The 22,438-nt window shown below is 46.3% G+C and overlaps 1 pseudogene, besides 1 other annotated feature; it reads right to left on the reverse strand.

Moving 5' to 3' along the window:
• Window positions 580-1,210: an enhancer, noted in NCBI's record as "H3K27ac hESC enhancer chr11:67496133-67496763 (GRCh37/hg19 assembly coordinates)". NCBI's record gives its function as "activates a minimal SCP1, AML or CMV promoter by ChIP-STARR-seq in primed H9 embryonic stem cells {active_cell/tissue: H9 hESC(primed)}" and the evidence as "EXISTENCE:reporter gene assay evidence [ECO:0000049][PMID:30033119]".
• On the reverse strand, window positions 7,596-8,259 carry OR7E11P (olfactory receptor family 7 subfamily E member 11 pseudogene; annotated as a pseudogene).

Here is a 22,438-nt window from a genome sequence, read left to right on the forward strand (position 1 = left end):
AAAGCTTGGTACTTGGTGAGTGTGGCATTCATTAGCCAATGATGTCCTTTAGTATTCATTAAAGTCACCACAGCATGGGAGGCCTTTATGTTCAGGTTTTGCCCAAGAGTCAGCTTATTTGCTTCTTGTACTAGCAGGGCAGTTGCTGCCAAGGCCCTCCAACAGGGGAGCCATCCTTTAGAAACCCCGTCTAGTTGTTGAGAGAGGTAGGCCACTGGCCTCAGCCAGGGCCCCACAGTTTGGGTTCAAAGTCCAGCTGCCATCTTTTCTCTCTCTGATGCATACAATGGAAAAGGCTTTGTCATATCGGGTAGCCCCAGGGCTGGGGCTGCCAGAAGTTTTTCCTTTAACTCATGAAAGACTTGCTGTTGTTGGGATCCACATTCCAAAGGTTCCTGGTCCCCGCCCCCTTGGTGACCTCACACAAAGGCTTGGCTAATACTGCAAAGTTTGGGATCCACAGTCTACAAAACCCCACAGCTCCTAAGAATTCTCTCCTGCCTTCTGCTCTTAGGCTCCGCTAGATTGCAAATGACCTGCTTTCTTTCTGATCCCGGGCTGCGTTCCGACCCCTGTCTGATAGTAAATCCCAAGAAATGTACCTGCTGTCGGCAGATCTGAGCTTTCTTCTTGGATACCTTCTACCCACAGTCCTCCAGGTGCCAGTGTAGGGAATCGGTTCCCTTGGTACACCCGACTGCCGTGGGGTGTCCCAGCAGAAGGTCATCAACCTACTGGAGCAACACGCAGCCTAGGTCTCTCCTGGGAAACTTCTGGAGGTCTCGAGCCCACGCCTCCCCGAAGATGGTGGGGGAGTTCTTGAACCCTTGGGGAAGACCAGTCCAAGTGTACTGAGTAGTGAAACCTGACTCCGGATCTTCCCACTGAAAGGCAAACAGCTTCTGCCTCTCAGGGGCTAATCTGATAGGAAAGAAAGCGTCTTTCAGGTCCAAGCAGGTGAACCTGCTGTCCTCAGCTGGCAGCAACCCCAACAATGTGGACGGCTTAGGTACTGCTGGATGTAAAGTCAGTGTAGCTTGATGAAGCAAGTGCAAATCCTTTACCTGCCGGTAGTCCTTGGTCCGTGGCTTTGGAACAGGCAGGAGGGGAGTGTTCCATGGAGACTGACAAGGAACAATAATTCCCAAAGTTCTTAGGTGCTTGAGATGGACCTGGATACCTTGAAGGGCTTCTCTGGGGACCAGGTCCTGTTTTTGCCTCACCGGCTGGGCCCCAGTCTTAACTGGCCAATCCTGGAGGGTTGTCTTCTGCCCCTACTCTTGGCCACCGCTTAGCCAGAGCTGGTCTTCTCTCTTGGCCCGGCTCAGTTAAGAAAAGTCTCCATTCCTCCTCTCGAGGGACCATAAGGGTCATAATGACTCCAGTTCTGGGTAACTTTAGCAGCAAAGATCCATGCTCTGTCAAAGAGTTAGTGGCTCTCAGCTTGCTGAGCAAGTCCCTTCCCAAAAAGGTCAAGGGACAGTCAGGTATGTACCAAAACTGATGAATGACTTTATGTCCTCCTACAGTACAAGTCCGAGACAAGCAGAAAGCTAGCTTTGCTGAAACCCCCGTGGCTCCGATGACGTCAATAGTCTTTTTGAATAAGGGGGCGACCGGGGCAGTTACTAGCGAATGTTCAGCACCGCTATCTACAAGAAAGTCAATGTCTCCACCCCCGACTGTCATTCTGAGCAGAGGCTCTTTGGGGACGCTTGAGCCGGGTCTCCCTCAGTCCAAGAACCCTTCTGCCAGGTTGAGCAGGGCCCCTTCCTCCTTGTCCAGGGCCTCCTGCTCTGAGTCACCTTGTTTTCTTTTGAGCTCAGGGCATTTGTTCTTCCACTGTCCTATTTCTTTACAATCAGCACACTGGTTACGCTGCAAACTCTGACAGCCAAGCTGAGTTTCTTTCCCAGGGCCCCCCTTCCCTTGCCTCTTTGCGGGGGCCCCTCTGATTGCTGCAGCTGACAAACAGGTTGGCGTGTCACCGGGCCTGACCTCCATTCTCTTTGCCGTTTTCCTTAGGGCTTACTGCATCCCTGTTTACAAACACCTGGCTAGCTATTTCTAGTAATTGTGATGGATTCATCCCTGCAAGCCCAGCCTGTTTCTGCAGTTTTCTTCTCATGTCTTCTGCGCTTTGATGGACTAAAGCCATGTGAATCATGCACTGATTTTCAGGGCTATCGGGATCAAAGGGAGTATACATACGATAGGCCTCACACAGTCTCTGGTAGAATTGTGCTGGACTTTCTTCTTTTCCCTGAATGACCTCAGAGAGCTTGTTAACATTTGTGGCCTTCTGAGCTCCCCTCATTAATCCTTCCAGGAGAGCTTCCCTGTCTCGCTTTAGCCTTTGCATATCCTCTCTTTCATGTGGGTCCAACTGGGGGTCGGTTCCTGGCAACTGGGTCCTTCCATACTCTTGGGGGTTTTGATAATCAGCTGGTGCATGTTCCTCTAGCCACTTAGCTGCTGCTTGGCGGACTCTCCGCCTTTCTTCGCTGTTAAAGAGGAACAGGAGCAACTGGTGCCAATCAGCACAGGTGGGGTTGTGGGTCTGGATAAGAGCTTGGAGCAAATCAATTAGGGCTTGTGGCTTTTCAGTATAGGGCGGTGTACTGTTTTTCCAGTTGAGAAGGTCGACGCAGGTGAAGGGCTTGTACCCAAAAACACGCTTCTCCACCACGTGACCATCCTCATCTATCCCAGTATACCGCTGCTCTCTCAGGGGCATTTGTGTCCCCGTTTTGGTTGGTAAACGAGCTGCCGAGGGAGGAGTGGAATGACACAATGTGACTTACTGCAATTAATAATCTCCATTATTAATTGACACTAGTAATTATCAATATTAATAACCCATAATATAATTTTAAAAATCAATACCGATAATAATGATAATTAATATTAAATAGTTATACTAATGATAACAATACATGATTAATATTAATGATTAATGACACCTGATATTAATAACTGATACTGACCTTATTAATTAGAAAACAGTCATATTAGCTCCTAATAAGTAATATTAATATTAATAATGGGAAAACATTTTATTAGCAATTATTTCTTAATATGAATATTAATATCGGTCATTCATATTCATGTTAATAATAAATGAGGAATAATTCATACTAATATTACGCCCTAACACCTCAGTGGGTGTACACCAACATGTGATATTGCTCCTAATGTCCAGGGAGGGAGAGAGCATGATATTACGTTCAATATCGCAGTAGGTGTACACCCAGCCGGTGATATTGATCCGAATATAATCTCCAGGGGGTGGAGTATGACGTTACTCCCAATATAGCACTGGGTGTGCATCCACCTGGTGATTTTGCTCCTAATATTCACGGAAGAAGAGAATGCTATTACTCCCAACATCGCAGGAAGTGTACACCCCCGTGTGAGATGGTCCTTAAAAATATTCCAAGGCGGAGGGGGTGATATGACTACATATATGGCAGAAAGAGGAAACCACCAAGGATATTGTTCCCATGATCCTGGAGGGAAGAGGATAATACTACTTTCAATATTACAGAAGGTGGACACGCCCCCAACTGATATTGTTTGTAATTGCAATCTGGGAGAGGAGGACCTGACACCCGATATCCCAGGGCGTAGAAATACCCCTGTGATACTGTTCCAAATATTCAGAGAGGAAGAGGATGATATTACTCCCAATACAGACGGGGGTACAACCTCTGTACACCCAGGGTGTACACCGGTCTGTGAAACAGTTCATAATCTTCAGAGGCGGAGATGATATTACTCACAATATGATAAAAATGCTGTGAGTCCACCGCGGGTCCTAAGAGCCAGGGGGGCAAGAGGGGCTGGCTCTTTAGTCCCCGCATCGTGTGGGGGGGCGCGGCGCCCCCCTGCGATGGGGGTCCTAAGAGCCAGGGGGGCAAGAGGGGCTGGAGAGGCGGGTGCTATTAGTCCCCGCATCGCGGGGGGCGCCTCGCCCCCCTGCGATTTGGATCGTAATATCCGGGGAGGAGAGGTGGGTGCTATTAGTCCCCGCATCGCGGGGGGCGCCTCGCCCCACTGCGATTTGGATCGTAATATCCGGGGAGGAGAGGCGGGTGCTATTAGTCCCAGCATCGCGGGGGGCGCCTCGCCCCCCTTCGATTTGGATCGTAACATCCGGGGAGGAGAGGCGGGTGCTATTAGTTCCCGCATCGCGCGGGGCGCCCTCACCCCCCTGTGATTTGGATCGTAATATCCAGTGGGGAGAGGCGGTTGCTGTTACTCCCCGCATCGCGGGGGGCGCTCTCACCCACCTGCGATGTGGCTGGTAACATCCAGTGGGGAGAGGGGCTGATATTACTCCCTTTCTCCTATTTTGTTTTCTCTACTGTCACACTTACTTAACACCCTGGGACATTATTTTCCATATTCTAGGATGGTGTCACTGTTTAAGTCCCAGGGGTTATACACCCTGTGATATTATTCGTGGTATTGGCGCGAAATGTGAGTCCTTATTTCACAAGTCTCTACACACTCTGATATTATTCGCAATACCCTAGCGGTACGTTGATAATAATGCCACAATATGTGTACAGCTTGTGCTATTATTCTTAATCTCCTAAGGGGAAGTTGATTTTATTGTCACACGGAGTATTTTCCCTTTGGTATGATTCGGAATATCCTGGAGGCATGTCACTCCTTATGTCACAGGGTTTGTACACCTTTTCAAATTACTCGTATTACCCTTATAAGATGTCACTCCTCATATCAGTGAGGGTGTACACTCTGTGATATTATCGTCATATTCTAGGGAAATGTTTCTTTTAATGTCACAGATGTTGCACACCTTGTGAAATTATTCGTTATAATTTTGTTTGATGTGACTGCTAACGTCACACGGGGTGTACACATAGTGATATTACGTGTAATCTTCTATAGAAATGTTACTCGTAAATCACAGGTCCTGTACCCCCTTTAATATTCTTCATCTTATTCTAGGAAAACGTGACTACTAATGTCACAGGGCGTGTAGACCCTGTCATAAAATTCGTAATATCCCAGCGGGAGTTCACTACTAATTTCACAATGCGTGTACACCCTTTGATATTGTTCGTATTATCCTAAAGAGATGTGACTACTGATGTCCCAATGCATGTACATTCTCTGATATTATTCCTTATATCCTCGGGGGATGTGACTTCTAATGTCACACGGCGTGTAGTCCCTGTGTTCTATTTCATAATATCCCAGGGCAATTGTACTGTTAATGACACAGGGGGTGTACACATTGTGATATTATTCATGATATTGTAGAAGGATGTTACTCCTAATGTCACAGGGGTGTACACCCTGTGATAGTATTCATAATTTCCCAGGGGTCTATACTCCTAATGTCACAGAAGATAACACACTGTGACATTATTTGTAATATTCTGGTGAGATGATTCTCCTAATATCACAGGAGGTGTATACCCTGTGATAGTATTCTTACTATTCTAGGGGGATGTCACTCGTAATGTCACAGGTGTCTTCCTTCTGTGATATTATTGAAAATATGCTAGCTGGATATTACTACTGGTGTCACAATGTGTGTACACCTTGTGATATTATTAGTAATATTCTGGGGGGAAGATACCCCTAAAGTTACAGGGGTGTACACCGTGTGATATTCCTCCCAATATTGTAGGGGGATGTTACTCCTAATGTCACAGGGGGTGTACAGCCTTCGATATTATTTGTAATCTTATAGAGAGATATTACTTTAATGATCACAGTGGGTGTACACACATGGGCTACACCCACTGGGATATTATTTGTAATATCTTAGGGAGATATAACTCCTAATATCACAGTGGGTGTACCCCATGTGTGTACATCCTGTGATATTATTTGTAATATCCATTGTAAACATTACTTCTAGTATCCCACAGAGGGTACACCCTGTGATATTTTTCATAATATCATAGGGAGATACTGTTTCTAATAAAACAGTGGGTGTACACCATGTGTGTACACTCTGTGATGTGATAGCTTATATCCTAGGGAGATATTCCTTCTAATCTCACAGTGAGTGTAAACCCTGTGACATCATACGTAATCTCCTAGAAAGATATTGCTGCTAATATCACAGAGGGTGTGCCCCCAGTGACATCATTTGAAATATCCTAGGGAGATGTTACTCGTAATGTCACAGGGGTTGTACACCCTGTTATATTATTGTAATATTCTAGGGGGGTGTTACTTTTTAAGTCACAGGGGTGTAGACCCTGTGATGTTATTCGTAATATCCTAGGAAGGGGCTACTCCTAATATCACATGGGTTATCCTAGGAAGAGCTTACTCCTAATATCACACTCCTAATATCACACCCTGTGATAACATTCGGAATATCCAAAAGGGATGTTACTTTTAATGTCACATGGGGTGTACACCCTTTGATAATATTCGTAAGATCCTAGGGACATATGACTTCAGATATCACATTGGGTATACACACATGGTGTACACATTGTGTGTGAACACCTCCTGTGATATTATCCATAATATCCTAGGAAAATGGGACTCCTAATATCACGGTCAGTGGACACCCTGTGATATGATTGGTAATATCCTAAAGAGATGTTACCACTAAGGTCACAATGTATGTACGCCCCCTGATATTATTCGTTATATCCTTGGCGGATGTTACTCCTAATGTCACACGGGGTGTACTCCCTGTGATATTATTCGTAATATCCTAGGGGGATGTTACTTTCAATGTCACCTGGGGCGTATATCATGCGTATTCAACGCCTGTGATACTATTCCTAATATCCTAGGGGCATGTTCCTCCTAATGTCACATGGGGTGAACCCCATATGTGTACACCTGCTGTGATATTATTCGTAATATCCTAGGGGAATATTCTCCTGATGGCACAGGAGATGTACACCATGTGTGTCAACCACCTGTGTCATTATTCGTAATATCCTAGGGGGATGTTTCCTTGAATGGCACAAAGTGTGCGCAAAAGGTCACAGAAGGTGTGCACCTTGTGATGTTATCTGCAATACCCTAGAAGGATGTTACTCCTAATATGTCACAGGGGTGTACACACTTTGATATTATTTGTAATCTCATAGAGAGATATGACTTCAAATATCATGGTGGATGTTCACACATAGTGTATACCCTGTGATATTATTCATAATATCCTAGGGAGATGCAACTCCTGATATCACAGTGCGTGTACCCAGTGTGTGTACACCCTTGATATGAGTCGTGATATCCAGGGTAAATATGACTCCTCATATCACACAGTGTGCACACCCTGTGATATTTTTCATCATACTTATAGGGAGATATTGCTTCTAATATCACAGTGGGTGTACCCCATGTGTGTTTACTCTGTGACAATATATTCTATATCCTAGGGAGGTATTACTCGTAATGTCACAGTGGGTGTTCACCCTGTGATATCATTCTTATTTGACCTCGCTGCCTTTTTGAACCCACCCTACAAAAGGAATGGAACAGATAAGAAGATATTGAGATTAGACTGTGCTGCCGTGCGGCCGCCGCAGGACACTTTTAATATCCCTGTTTCTCAGGCTGTACATGAAGGGGTTCAGCATGGGGGTGACCACCGTGTACATCACTGAGGCCACTGCACTCTTTCTTGGGGAAGATGACACATCTGAACCGAGGTACCCTCCAACACCTGTTCCACAAAATCAGCAAACAACTGGCAGGTGAGACCCACAGGTGGAGAAGGTTTATACTTCCCACCTGATGATGAAACCCTCAGAATGGAGGAAACAATTTTACAGTAAGAGAAAAGGTCCCCAAGATGGGAAGAAAACCAAATACGGCAGCAGGGAAATACAGGTTGATGTTCCTGGTGAAGGTGTCACAACATGCAAGATGGGGGAGTTGAGAAGGTTCCCAGAAGAAATTAGGAATTCCACATCCTTGAAGCCGGTCATTTGTAAGGCAATCAAGTTGTGCAGCTGGGAGTCTAAAAGACTGAGAAAAACAAAACAAAACAAAACGAAGACAACAAATCTAGGAAGCCACAGAAACATGGGTTCAAGATTGCTGAACGATATAGAGGGTGACAGATGGCTACAAACCGGCCATAGGCCATCACACTCAGGAGCATGTCTCTCTTCCATGCCTCCAAAAATGGCAAAGAGAGACATCTGAGTCAGGCAGCCTGCATAGGAGATGACTCTGCTGTGAGACTGGATGTCCACAATCATCTTGGGGACCGTGGTGGAGGTGAAACCGATGTCAGGCAAGGGCAGGTTGGAAAGGATGAAGTACATGGGGGTGTGGAGGTGGGAGTCAGGGCTGACGGCCAGGATGATGAGCAGGTTCCCCAGCACTGTGACCAGGCACATGGACAGGAACAGCCCAGCGACGACCGGCTGCAGTTCTGGATCCTCTGAGAGTTTGAGGAGGAGGAATATAGAGACATCTGTTAGACTATGTGGATCTGTATAGTTTGGACACCTTTTGCCTGGAAAAGAGGGTTGAAAAATCAGAAACAAGTAAACCAATACCCAGCATTGTGTCTGCATTTTGGATATAAGCAATTCACAAGTAATGTTTTCAGATTTCAGAGCAATCCACACTCAGCAATATTTTGTAGTTCTGACAAGCTCAATTGCCTTTTAATGCTTTCAACATCGATTGCTGTGTTATTCACGTCTTGCTGTACACACTTGCCTTAGAGACACTAGCTTCAAGAACGTTCCAAGAACCAGCTCATCATATAACAAATTCGTAATTGCTAGGAAATACAGCCTATCTTTTCCGAAGAACAAGATGTAATAAAACCATTGTCTTCACTTTAAGAAAAAGGTTATCCTAATTAAAGGAAATTAAGAACTCAAATATTTTATTTATTCTACTAGATGGATACAAATTCCCTTGATTTAGAACATTTGTAAACACTGTATAACAGCTGAGACCATGCCATCTGGAAATGAAATGAAAGTTGATAGTTCCTAAGAAGAAAATAGTTCCACATGCCAGTTAGGTCCTAGTGATTTCATCATTGTGTTTTCGGACTTTTCTCCTTCGAGAGAGTAATTGCTTACTCAAATCGGTGGGTCTTGTTTTAAAATTCATGGAAGCTCTAACTCCTGTCCTTAGCTTAGGTGGACTTAGAGTTTTCATCAGAAAGTTTGGCCGGACACGGTGGCTCACGCCTGTAATCCCAGCACTTTGGGAGGCCGAGGAGGGCGGATCATGGGGTCAGGAGATCAAGACCATCCTGGCCAACATGGTGAAACCCCGCCTCTACTAAAAATACAAACACTTCGCCCGGTATGGCGGCGCGCGCCTGTAGTCCCAGCTACTTGGGAGGCTGTGGCAGGAGAATAGCTTGAACCTGGGAGGCAGAGACTACAGTGAGCTGAAATCACACCACTGCACGCCAGCCTGGGCAATGAGAGCAAAACTCCGTCTCAAAACACAAAAAGAATCAAGTAAGTCAAAGTCACGCTGATGACAGCCAATTTTGATGAAGCAAGGAAGAGTCAATTCAACCATTAACATAGATTTTGACTTTTGCTGTCTCCTATGTGCCAAGAAAGATATAGGCTCTGGGGAATCAGAAACCAAAGAGACTCACTTGTTCCTCTCACAGTACTCAGCACTTACTGATAGAAGGACAAAACAAAATGTCCTGTCTGGAATGCAGGGAAACCAGAACTTCAGGTCAGGGGATATTTCCGTTGAATTGTGTGGAGTTGAAGCTGAAAATCTTAAGGAATGTATCAAAAATTCCCTTTGCCTTTAATTTATGCATCCGTCACCTAGAGATCACGCAGCGGGCGCCCACGATCAGCTTAATCATCACTCACTTCCATCGGATGAACTGGAAATCAAGTCAGATGAGAGTGCTGAGTCTCAGAGGATGGACATTTCACCCCTTGCCATACAGAGAAGTAGAAAGGGTGGTATTCAAAATTCATGGCCAGACTCGAAGTCCCGGGTACTATACTTCCTGGTCTTCCAACTCTCAAAAAGTTGTGGGTTTTTTTGGTTTTTGTTTTTGTTTTTGGTGTTTTGAGACGGAGTCTCGTTCCGTTGCCCAGGCTGGAGTGCAATGGAGTGATCTCGGCTCACCGCAACCTCTGCATCCCAGGTTCAAGCTATTCTCCTGCCTCAGCCTGCCAATTAGCTGAGATGACAGGCGCCCGCCACTACGCCTGGCTCATTTTTTTCTATTTTGAGTAGAGACGTGGTTTCACCATGTTGGCCAGGCTGGTCCTGAATTCCTGACCTTGTGATTCGCCTGCCTCAGCCTCCCAAAGGGCTGGGATTACAGGCGTGAGCCGCCGCTCCCAGCTTCCAAAAGTTTTAAGCAGAGCTCAGAGATCTTAACCACGGGCACATTGGAGGAGCATTTTTGAAACGCTTTCCAGCTTCCTCAATAGGAATGGAAACCAAACTCCGAATTGATGACTCCTTTGAGGAAGCCGAGAGCTGTAAGGAAAGCCAGGAACAGGGGCAAGGGAGAGATGCATCCCGAATGATTGCTGTGCCAATTCATTCTGGAATCCTCGATGTGATCTCAGCTGCCCTTTCCATACTTGACACAGTGATTGTGGCACCAACTGGTCTAGCTGTGGTCTACAAGGAACCCCCAAAGGGAGGGGCACAGTGAGCAGGGGCATCCGCCTGAGTGACGAGGATTTGAGAGGGCAGGTTGGTTGCAGGGAGAGGACTGGCCAAATGCCATGTGTCTGGACTTAGGCTGCCTGGTTCAAATTGGACTTCACCCTTTTTGACTTCACGATCGAGTACGAGTTATATGAAAAGACGTTGCTCCTTTTCTAGTCTGTAAAATCATCCTGAAATGTGCACTAATAAGGTGGAGACTACACAGATGAAATGAAACAAGCTGCATAGAGCACAGAGCTCAGAGCCTGGCCTTTAGGAAGCCCTCAGTAAGGGTTCATGATGCCATGGTGTCTGTTGTCATCCTCTTTATCCTCATCATCACCTTCATAATCTTTTTGTTGTTCTTAGGGAATAGTTTAGATGGACTGATTCCCTGCTATCATGGGTGAGATGTCTATGAAAAGGACAACCAGTGGGGGAGGAAAGCAAAATTTTGAATAAGATTTCTGAGACCCCCAGCACAACCAAGAACAGAAACTGCACAGTCTGCTGAGCGGACAGTTTGCACATTGGTCTCCTCCCATCTGCCCACCACATTCTCCTGTTTGTCCTGAGGAGGAGGAAACCAAACAAGGCTCCCGACCGTCCCTCAACACTCACTTGAAGGGGTGGCCTGGCCCTCCACACCTGTGGGTATTTCTAGTCGGGTGGGATGGGAGACTGAGGAAAGAAATAAGACACAGAGACAAAGTATAGAGAAACGACATTGAGCCCAGGGGACCAGCGCTCAGCATACCAAGGATCTGCACCGGCACCGGCCTCTGAGTTCCCTCAGTTTTTATTGATGATTATTTTTATTATTTTAGCAAAAAGGAATGTAGTAGGAGGGCAGGGTGATAATAAGGAGAAGGTCAGCAACGAAGATGTGAGCAATAGAATCTATGTCATAATGAAGTTCACGGGAAGGTACTATGACTGGACGTGCATGTAAGCCAGATTGATGTTTCTCTCCACCCAAACATCTCAATGGAGTAAAGAATAACAAGGCAGCATTGCTGCAAACATGTCTCACCTCCCACCATAGGGCGGTTTTTCCCCCATCTCAGAATTGAACAAATGTATAATCGGGTTTTATACCGAGACATTCAGTTCCCAGGGGCAGGCAGGAGACAGCGGCCTTCCTCTCCCTCAACTGCAAGAGGCTTTCCTCTTTGACTAGTCCACCTCAGCACAGACCCTTTACAGGTGTCAGGCTCGTGGACGGTCAGGTCTTTCTCCTCCCACGAGGCCACTTTTCAGACTATCACATGGGGAGAAACCTTGGACAATACGCCGCTTTCAAGGGCAGAGCTCCCTGAGGCTTTCCACAGTGTATTGTGCCCCTGGTTTATTGAGACTAGAGAATGGCGATGACTTTTACCAAGTATACTGCTTGGAAACATCTTAACAAGGCACGTCCTGCACAGCCCTAGATCCCTTAAACCTTGATTTCATACAACACATGTTTTTGTGAGCTTCAGGTTGGGTCAAAGTGGCTGGGGCAAAACTACACATTAACAACATCTCAGCAAAACAATTGTTGAAAGTACAGGTCTTTCTCAAAATGGAGTCTGTTATGTCTTTCCTTTCTACATAGACACAGTAAGAGTCTGATCGCTCTTTCTTTTGCCTACACTCACTGAACTGCCCTTCCCCTCTGCTGGGCCATGACCACGGAGAATAGGTCCACTGTCCTCCCTGCATGGTGCACGATGGATGCTCAGACTCCATCCTCATGGCTGGCAAGAAGACAGAGTGAGACATGAGCCTCCTGATACAGGTGATGTCTCTGGAGCCCACAGGACTGCAACCTCACACTGCAGGGCTGGAGGCACAGACTGAGTATTTACTGTTCTGTGGCCTGGGGGCTCAAGGCACAGAGCTCCTCATTAGCCAAAGTCACCCAAATTCCCCAACCTCTAAGGATTTCCTCATCATCATGTAAGAAGAAGAAGAGAAAATGATTGTCCATAGAAGCTTTGAGGCTCTTCTTCTAATCAGGAGAAAGCTGGTGTGTATTATTCGCTTCTTTCTTTTCTTTTTAAAGATCCAACTGCTTTAATTTTCATCTTTTATTATGGGAAAATATACCACGTATAAATATTAAAAATTATAAATATATATTAGTTCATATAGAATAGCCAGTATAAACATTTACAATTTCCACCCTTTTTCAGTTTACAGTTTCATGACATTAAGTACGTTCACATTGTTTAGCAACCATCACCGTCATCATCTCCGGAACAGTTTTATTTTTCAAAATGGAAATTGCACCCATTCACCAAGCTCTCCACTCCTCTCTCTCGCCCACCCCTGGGGGCCACCTTTCTGGTTTGCAACTCTAGGAGTCTAACTACTCTAGACACTTGATAGATAAGTGGAATCATACCGTGTTTAATTTTTTTTTTTTAGATACAGAGTCTTTCTCTGTCGCCCAGGCTGGAGTGCAGTGGCATGATTTCGGCTCACTGCAACCTCCACATCGGGGTTCAAGCAATTCTTATGTGTCAGTCTCCTGAGTAGCTGGGATTGCAGACGTGCGCTATCACGCCCAGCTAATTTTTGTATTTTTAATAGAGATGAGCTTTCACCATATTGGCCAGGCTGGTCTCGAACTCCTGAGCTTAAGTGATCCGCCTGCCTCAGCCTCCGCAAATGCTGGGGTTACAGGTGCGAGCCACTGAGCCTGGGCATGTTTATCCTTTTTTGATTTATTTATTTCACTGACGATAATGTCTTCAATGTTCATCCATGTTGCGGCCTGCATCAGAAGTGCCTGTTTGTTTTTGTTGTTTTTTTTTTAATTTGGTTTTATTTTGTTTTGTTTTGCGTTTTCATGGAGTCTCACTCTGTCGCACAGGCTGGAGTGCAGTGGCACAATCTGGGCTCACTGCAACCTCCACCTCCCGGGTTTGAGCGATTCTTGCGCCTCAGCCTCCTTAGTAGCTGAGATTACAGGTGCGTGCCACCACACCAGCTAATTTCTGTATTTTTAGTAGAGATGGGGTTTGCCATGTTGGCCAAGCTGGTCTTGAACTCCTGAGCTCAGGTGATCCACCCGCCTCAACTTCCCAAAGTGTTAGGATTACAGACATGAGCCACTGTGCCCAGCCCAAGGATGTGTATATTTTCTATAGACTTTTGATGATAATACTTTGACAGCAAATATATTGTGACTATCTATATATCATACATATATATATATATATATATATATAGAGAGAGAGAGAGAGAGAGAGAGAGAGAGCGTGAGAGGGAGAGAGCAAGAAAGAGAGAGAGTCTCCCTTTTTCACCCAAACTGGAGTGCAGTGGCACAATCATAGCGTGCTGCGGCCTTAAATTTCTGGGCTCAAACAATCCTGTCACCTCAGCCTCCTGAGTAGCTGGGACTACAGGCATGTACTACCATGCCCAGCTAACTTTTTATTATTTTTTTTTGTAGAGATGAGGTCTGACTGTTTTGCCCGGGCTGGTCTTAAACTCCTGGCTAAAAGTGATCCTCCTGCCTTGGCCTCCCCAAGTGCTGGGATTACAGGTGTGAGCCATTGCAACTGGTGTGAAGCTGGGATTGCAGGTGTGAGACATGGCATCTGGTGTGAATATCGCCTGGTAAATACCTTGTACTTTCACTTTCATTAAGATGTCTTTCGACCTCATGAAATTATCTGAAAAACAGGGATGAAACACTGTTCTGCTCCATCTTCCCTGCAGGCACTTGGGCCCCATCCTGCTCTCTTGCCCCCCTCTTCTAGTGAATGGCCAGATAGGAACTATTGCAGGTTTATGGGCCATGTGGTCTCTGTTGCAAATATAACAGCTCTGCTGTTGTAGTGCAAAAGCAACCACAGCCCATATGGAAACCATCTTTCCTGCATGGCCTCTGTAATCTTTTAGAAATACCCGTTGGGTCACACCACTGCCTGACTTAAAACGTATAGATGACCTCTTCTGTCTCCTAAGCTATTAGGTTGGTGCAAAAGTAATTGCTGTTTCCATTAAAAGTAATGGCAGAAATTGGCTGGGCATGGTGGCTCACACCTGTAATTCCAGCAGTTTGGGAGACCGAGGCAGGTGGATCACTTGAGGTCAGCAGTTTGAGATCAACCTGGGCAACATGGTGAAACCCCATCTCTAGTAAAAATACAAAAATTAAAATTAGCTGGGGGTGGTGGCATGTGCCTGTAGTCCCAGCTACTTGGGGGGATGAGGCAGGAAATTGGCTTGAACCTGGGAGGCGGAGGTTGCAGTGATGAAGATCACACCTCTGCACTCCAACCTGGGTGACAGAGACAGACTCTGATAAAAAAAAAAAGTAATGGCGGAAATCACAATTACTTTTGCACCAACCTAATAAAAGTCAAGTCCTGACCACAGCCTAGGAAGCCAGCTATGACCTGGCCCTTGTCACCCTCTCCAAGTTCAACTCCCGAGAACTTCCGTTTCCTCTCTGCTCCCCGCTCCGGCCTCCCATTCCTCACTCGTGTTGCATCAGATGCCTGCGCACCCTGGTGTTTCCGCATGTCCTCTTCTGTTAGCCTGGAAAGTTCTTTCCTCCCTCTTCATCCAGCACTACTAGATACCTCCCCCTGCCTTAGCCTAGCCAGGTCCCCTGTCATTTAGTCTCAGAGTATCTTGAATGTCTTCTTCACAGCCCAACTTACAATCCTCACTCACTCGCTGAGTGGGTGCCATCCTTTCTCTCCACCTAGAATGCAAGCTTCCTGAGGGCAGGGGCTGGAACCATCTTGTTCTTTGCCAAATCCCCAGTGCCATCTCTGGCACAAAGTGGGCATTATGAAAATATTTGCTGAGTGCATAAAAGGAGGGAATCATGGATTTGAGCCCTCGGCTTGGTGCCCTGGGGATGTGGCTCCATAAAATCAGTTCCCATTTTTCTCTCTCCTCTTCTCCTGGGAGGTGGGTGTCTGGGTTCTCCTGCCAGGAGAGCTTCTCTCTCAAAAGACTGCAGGTGCCTCTTGGCCTAGGCCTGCCTCCTGCTAAGTGAGACTCTTTAGGGCTAGTCTGCATCGACTCTGCTGAGATGCAGCCACCAGATGGGTAACGTGCGCAACCCTTGGAAGGTCCCTGGGAACGAGGCTTCCGAGTCATCTGGATCAACTAGTTTGAAGTTACAAACTCACCAGATGTTGGTCAGCTGGAATCTTAGTGATGAGCTGCTCCGACCCCTCCTGTTGTAGTCAAGTCACTTGTGCAAAGCCACCACTTGGCTGGGACCCCAAGCTCAGGCCTGGACTCTCTCCTTGGTCCCAGGCTTTACACTAAGGGAATGTCAACTGTTCTGTAGAATCACTTGGACTACTTTATACTTTTGTGTCTCCTTTTCCTATTCTGTATTCTGGAAAAACAAACTTTTCCTTGTGATTGAACAGAATCTTCACACTGTGTTGTTGCTGGCATTGTTCTAAATTTAGCCTCGGTTCATCCCCAGCTGGAGTGAATGACTTTAATTTGATCAGCTGCTGTATGTGCTTGGGAGCCTCCGAAGGGCGACCTGTGGCCTTTAAGGCCCCTTTCCACCCTTAGATCCTGACCTGGGGCAAACACACACTCCAGCTCGTTCATGTCCAGATAAGACACCCAGAGGCCATGGCGAGGGTTCCCTCTGTAGGGGCTCTATTGCTGTTGAGAGGATCAAGGCAGCAGTCAGGGCCTGAGGGTTGTCCAGAAGAAAGCACAAAGCATACCGAGCGCTGGTCTGACAGCACTTAGGAGTGTGACAGAAACCTTCTGTCATGGGACCAGAGATTGGAGACCGTGGGAACACATCCGAACCCACATCTCCGTGACAAGGTGGTGCTGATTTCCAGTGGTCCTCCCTGGTGGGGAAATCACGTAGCTCTGACTCTGGAGCGTGTTGTTGTGTTTCTCTTTCAGTATGAGCTTGTCTGTGGCCCTAGAGTTCCTCCCTTATGAAATAATGATGCCTCCCAACACAGGATATCCCAGGCTGCAAGCCTGTCCCTTCTGCCCAGCTTCCTTACCCCTGTGCCCCCAAAGCCCACAGCAGGGCCTGCCAGAGGCTGATGACATATCTGTCACTGTCCCAAGGGGGCAGGGGCAGCGACGGAGTATTAGGCCACAAAAGGCATGCCTGCAGGCACATATGAGGGAAACACCCAAAGCCAGACGTCAATGAAACAGTAATTCGGTGGAATAGGAGAGGTCATATTCTCATGCAAGACTGTCTAAATACATAAGTCTCCTTGGGCACAATCTGCCAGGGGACAATGGTTCATGCCGAGACAGCTATTACACCGCCTTGCTAAGAACTTCCAACACACACTTACACACACACATACACACGCACATATACAAGCACACACACATGCATACACACATGCACCCACACACACACATGCAAGCACATACAGATACACACGCACAAACACACATACAGATACACATACATATAGGCACACACATGCACACACACAGATACACACACATGCACACAGATACACACATGCACACAAACACACGAAGGCACAGACACATGCACACAAATGCACATGCATACAGACACATGCACACACAGGCAACACACACGCACACACATACATACACACAGGCACACACAGATATACATATGCACACGGAGACACGCATGCATGCACACGTATGCACACAGACACACATATGCACACACATGCACACACACAGATACACATGCATGCACATACAGGCATACACATGCAAACACATGCACACAGATATGCATGTACACACATGTACACACATGCACACCCATACACATGCACAGAAAAACACGTACACACACATGCACACACATGCACACAGACACATGCACAGATACAGACACACATGCACACACAGAAGCACACACATGCACATGCACACTCGCACACATGCGCACACACATGCACACATGCACACACATGCACACACATGCACACTTGCACACGTGCTCACACGCATACACACGCACACACATGCACACATACACACACACCACTCCTTTTCCATTTCTCTAATTTCCAATTTTTTTCTATGAGCTTCCTCAGACTCATGATCTTGATTCTAGAATGAATTCAGGGAGTAAGTGTGTATTATTGAAATAACAGTAAATTCAAACATGCCTAAGAACCTTTTTGAATGTTGGGGAAACCACCTCACAGATCATTCAAATGACCCGAGCAGACACTTCACCAGGGACCCTTGGACATCTCCCTGTCCCTTCTGCCAACCTCTGTGCTTTAATATCAGGGGACAAACCTCTCGATTTTGGTTTCTCATCTCTGTGTCCCCATGTACACTGGACTGCACTACTGTGTCAAAGCTACTTGCAGCCTGACCTGGCAAATGTACTTTTGGATTCACTCGATTTGCCACCTATTTGGGTGGTTTGGGCTGGAAATTGCCCTGCTCACACTCTTGGCTCCCAGCTGCTCCTGCTTTGGGGGTGCCTAGAGACCCCAGCTCATCCCGTGGGTCATATCCCCACAGTGGGGCCGGGGATGTGACTGAGAGTTGTCTGGGCACCTCTCTCCAGCAGCATTGAGGATGGCGCTCAGCACTGTGTGACGTTGGCTGGTGGCCACTGCCTGTTTAGGTCGAAATGGCCCAGCCTGATGTCCGCATGCACCTCTGCGGCACACTGGCCTGCAGACCCCCGAGCATATGCTGCATGCTTCTCACCTCTAGAGTGGCCACCCAGACAGCGATACAGACATACCAAGAAAACCCACAGGCAAGCCCAGAGGTGCCCGTTCTACTAGGGCCTTGTGAGCCTCTGTGATTTGAGTCATGAGCTTCTTGTGGTGATTTCACTTAGCTAACATCCAACACATTGCATTTAGAGGCTCTTTCTCTTGGACATTATATGGAGGCGTGGCCATGGTTTGCTGAGATAAATGTCCCAAAACACCCCTCAATAAAACCAAATAACAGCTCATCAACCCCTTACATTTAAAAAAAAATTGACATCTTATAAATAGCAAATATTGGATGACAATAAGGCACAGGAAAAAGCTCATAAGCCCAGAACAGCAGTCATCATTCAATTGTTCCTTAACTACTGACTGTGCACCTGTTCAGTACCAGCACCGCATCCTAGATACAGGGATACCACACGAAATAAGATGACAAAGCACCTGCCCCTGTGGAGCTGAGCCACTAGCAGGAGAGACAGTCACTAAATGAATATCTCTATCCTGTGGTTTCTGGGAATGACAGTCACATAAAAGGATAGAAAGGGATGGAGGAAAGCTAATTTAGACAACTCAGGATCAGAATCGGGAGGTGGTTGCATCCCTCAAAATTCAGAGTAGCTGGAGTGCAAGCCTTGTATTAGCTGAGCCTGAATCCTGGCCCTGCCGTTGTCCATGGTGTCCTCAGGCAAATGGCTCAACTTCTCTGACCACCGGCTTCAAGTGCAGAACAGGAGACCAGAGTCCCATCTCTCAGGGTTGTTGCTGTGGACTGAATTGTGTTCCCTCCATTTCACTCATTAGGAGCTAATTAACGTTAAAGGAGGTCATAAGAGTGGAATCCTAATCTGATAGGATTGGTGGATTTATAAAAAGAAGAGATGTCTCTGTCTCTCTCCCTCTCTGCCATGTGAGGACAAGCAAGAAGGCTGCTGTCTGCCAGCCAGGAAGACAGCCCTTACCAGAAAGGGATTGGTGGATACTTTGATCACGAACTTCTGGCCTCCAGATCAGTGACAGAAAATCAATGTCTGTTATTTAGGCCATCCGGTCTCGGGTACTTTGTTATGGCAGCTAGGCTGGCTGAGGCAGTTGTTGAGAGGAACCGACAAGGTAGTTGGGGTAAAGCACACAGCACGGCCACAGCTCACTGAGCACAATGTCAGTCTCATTTCCCTTCAATTGTTATTCTCTGTCTGGAGGATTTTCATGATGGCTTTTCTCCAAGAAGCTCCCTGGGGTCTTTGTAAATATGGGGATATTTCTGACAAGAAAAATCCTTACGGTTCTTAACATTGACAATGACCAGGAACAGCAAGACATGAAAATGAGAAGGTGGCTAGAAAAGAGAGGACCCACAGAAGAAACCAACAACCACACAACACACACACACACAGGAGGAATCCTAATGCAGGAGGAGAATAGAACATCAGGGGACCCCGAGACTGAACTCTGCATCTCATGTATTGAGATCATTCCCTGATACGGTTTGGCTGTGTCCCCACCCAAATTTCATCTTGAATTGTAGCTCTCCTAATCCACATGTGTCATGGGAGGGACGTGGTGGGAGGTAATTGAATCATTGGGTGGGTCTTTCCCATGCTGTTCTCATGATAGTGAATATGTCTCATGAAATCTGATGGTTTTATAAAGGGGAGTTCCCCTGCACAAGCTCTCTTGCCTGCTACCAAGTAAGACGTGACTTTGCTCCTCATTCACCTTCCACCGAGATTGTGAGGCCTCCTTAACCATGTGGAACTGGAGTCCATTAAACCTCTTTCCTTTATAAATTACCCAGCCTCAGGTATGTCTTTATTAGTAGCATGAGAATGGACAAATATATTCCCTAAGCCTCTATTTTCCTCTGAGACAGGCTTAAACTGAATAGCCCCATCTTTGCAGGCCTTAAATAGTAATACTGTTATGTGTTATATTAACATGTATTTTATTGAAAGTCTCTGGTTTTTGTCTCTCTGAACACAGGCAGGCCTTGCTGAAACTTGCAGATGACATTCCAAAATGCATTCTATCTTAAGATAAGCAGAGAGGGTGGTGAGGAAAAATTGTACATACCTTCCCCTCAATGAAGAGGTCCCCGAGGTGTGGCCGGCCTTGGTATAAGCTTTTTGGCTCTGTTAATTCATGAGGGCTGAGTCTGATTGATCCTCATGGGGAAGACTAACAAAGGAATCCTTGCAACCATTAGGAATAACACTCATGACCCAGAAAGCGGTTCTGTCTTCATGGGGCATCATCTGTCTTGTTTACTGAGTGACCTTCTGGCTCATTTTTCTTCCAGCCAGGGTTGGAATTCAATAATCCTAGTTCCTTCCCAAATTTTAGAGCTGGGAAATGCATTCCTCAGGTTTCTACTTTTCAAAAGCGAAGAATATCTGTGGAGCTCAACTCCTAAATAGTGTGACTTTGTCTGTTTATGTGGTTCTCTTGCTGACTGCCTGGTTGCGACTGTGCCTGAACTCAGGCCTCTGTGTTTCTGAATCTTAGAAGCGGTGGTTGGCATGTCAAACTTGAAGTCATTGTCCTTTAGTTATCTGAGTGTTATAATTGAACAGCACATTTATTAACAAGACTTTAGTAAATCCATCAGCATTCTAGGAATCTTTGATTCATTGACCTATCTCTAATGTAAGCAAAGGCTGCCAGAGAGTTGCTAACAAGAATTCCATCTTTCCTCAGAACCTTCAGTTCTCTTGGGTCGAAGTTGATACCTGTTTCATGAAAAATGCAAACCCAATTAATTACAGCTGTTCATAGTATGCCTCTTCTAAGAGACCTCTGCTGTTCCTACCCCAGGGACTGCCAGAATAATTAAAAGTCACAGAAATCAAACAAATGGGCCTCTGGCTAAATTATAGAAGATTAACCCAGGAAGAGCACTTATTAAATAGTAAGCAGTCCCCAAAAATATTAAAGTACAAAAAGGATTAGAAATTGTTTTAAGCATTGGTTCCAACTTCAGGTGCTGGTCTTCCACTCCACTGTGGAAGGGAACAAATGGATTTTCCTGTCCTAAAGCCAGTGACATTGATCACGCCCCTTGGAGGCTTAATAACATCTCACTTTATTTTATTTTAATTAATTAATTATTTATTTATTTTTGAGATGGAGTTTCACTCTTGTTGCCCAGGCTGGAGTGCAATGGCACGATCTCCGCTCACTGTAACCTCTATCTCCTGGGTTCAAGCGATTCTCCTGCCTCAGCCTCCTGAGTAGCTGGGATTACAGGCACGTGCCACCATGCCCAGCAAATTTTTGTATTTTTATTAGAGATGGGGCTTCACCACGTTGGCCAGGTGGGTCTTGAACTCCTGACCTCAGGCGATCTGCCTGCCTCGGCCTCCCAAAGTGCTGGGAGAACAGGCATGAGCCACCGCCCCCGGCCAATAATATCTCACGTTAAGCATGGAGTTGCTGTCCACTGTGTGGCCAGAGAGAAAACAAACTGCCATTACAGAGGGAGGTGGTATTGGGCTACTTTTTTTTTGGAAACAACAGCAAAATGTGAGGCAAATCCGCTTTTAGATCCTGGTTACACTGCTGGATGGAGCTTAGCAAGCCTGTGATAGGGTAGCCTGGTGGTGGCTTGGGGGATTCCTAGCCATGTCACACAGGACAGATGCCTTTGAGGAGAGATGGCACAGCGCTGGCTCTCAGGCCCCCATTGCAGGGGGACCAGGCTGTTTATGGATCGGGTGGGAACCCTGTTAGAAAAATAAGTGGAGGCTGGGTGTGGTGGCCCACACCTGTAATCCCAGCACCTTTGGAGGATGAAGTGGGTGGATTGCTTGAGCCTGGGTGTTCGAGACCAGCCAGGGCAACTTGGCAAAGCCCTGTCTTTAGAAAAATAATAATAATAGTTAATTAATTAGTTAATTTTTTTTTAAAAAAAGAAACAGAAGTGGAGCTAAGGAACACAGAGCCTGCCAGAAAGCCAAGGTGGCCAGCTAGAAGGACACAGAAGAACATTACCATAGTTCTCTCTGAGCATTTGGACTAGGGGTGCTTTCATGTGGTTTTCATATCAAACATACTTTATTTTTATACTTAGGGGGGAAAGACCTAATACATACAATAAAGGTAACACGAGACAAAACTCT

This window comes from Homo sapiens, chromosome 11 (assembly GCF_000001405.40).
Source record: "Homo sapiens chromosome 11, GRCh38.p14 Primary Assembly".
NCBI classification, from domain to species: domain Eukaryota; kingdom Metazoa; phylum Chordata; class Mammalia; order Primates; family Hominidae; genus Homo; species Homo sapiens.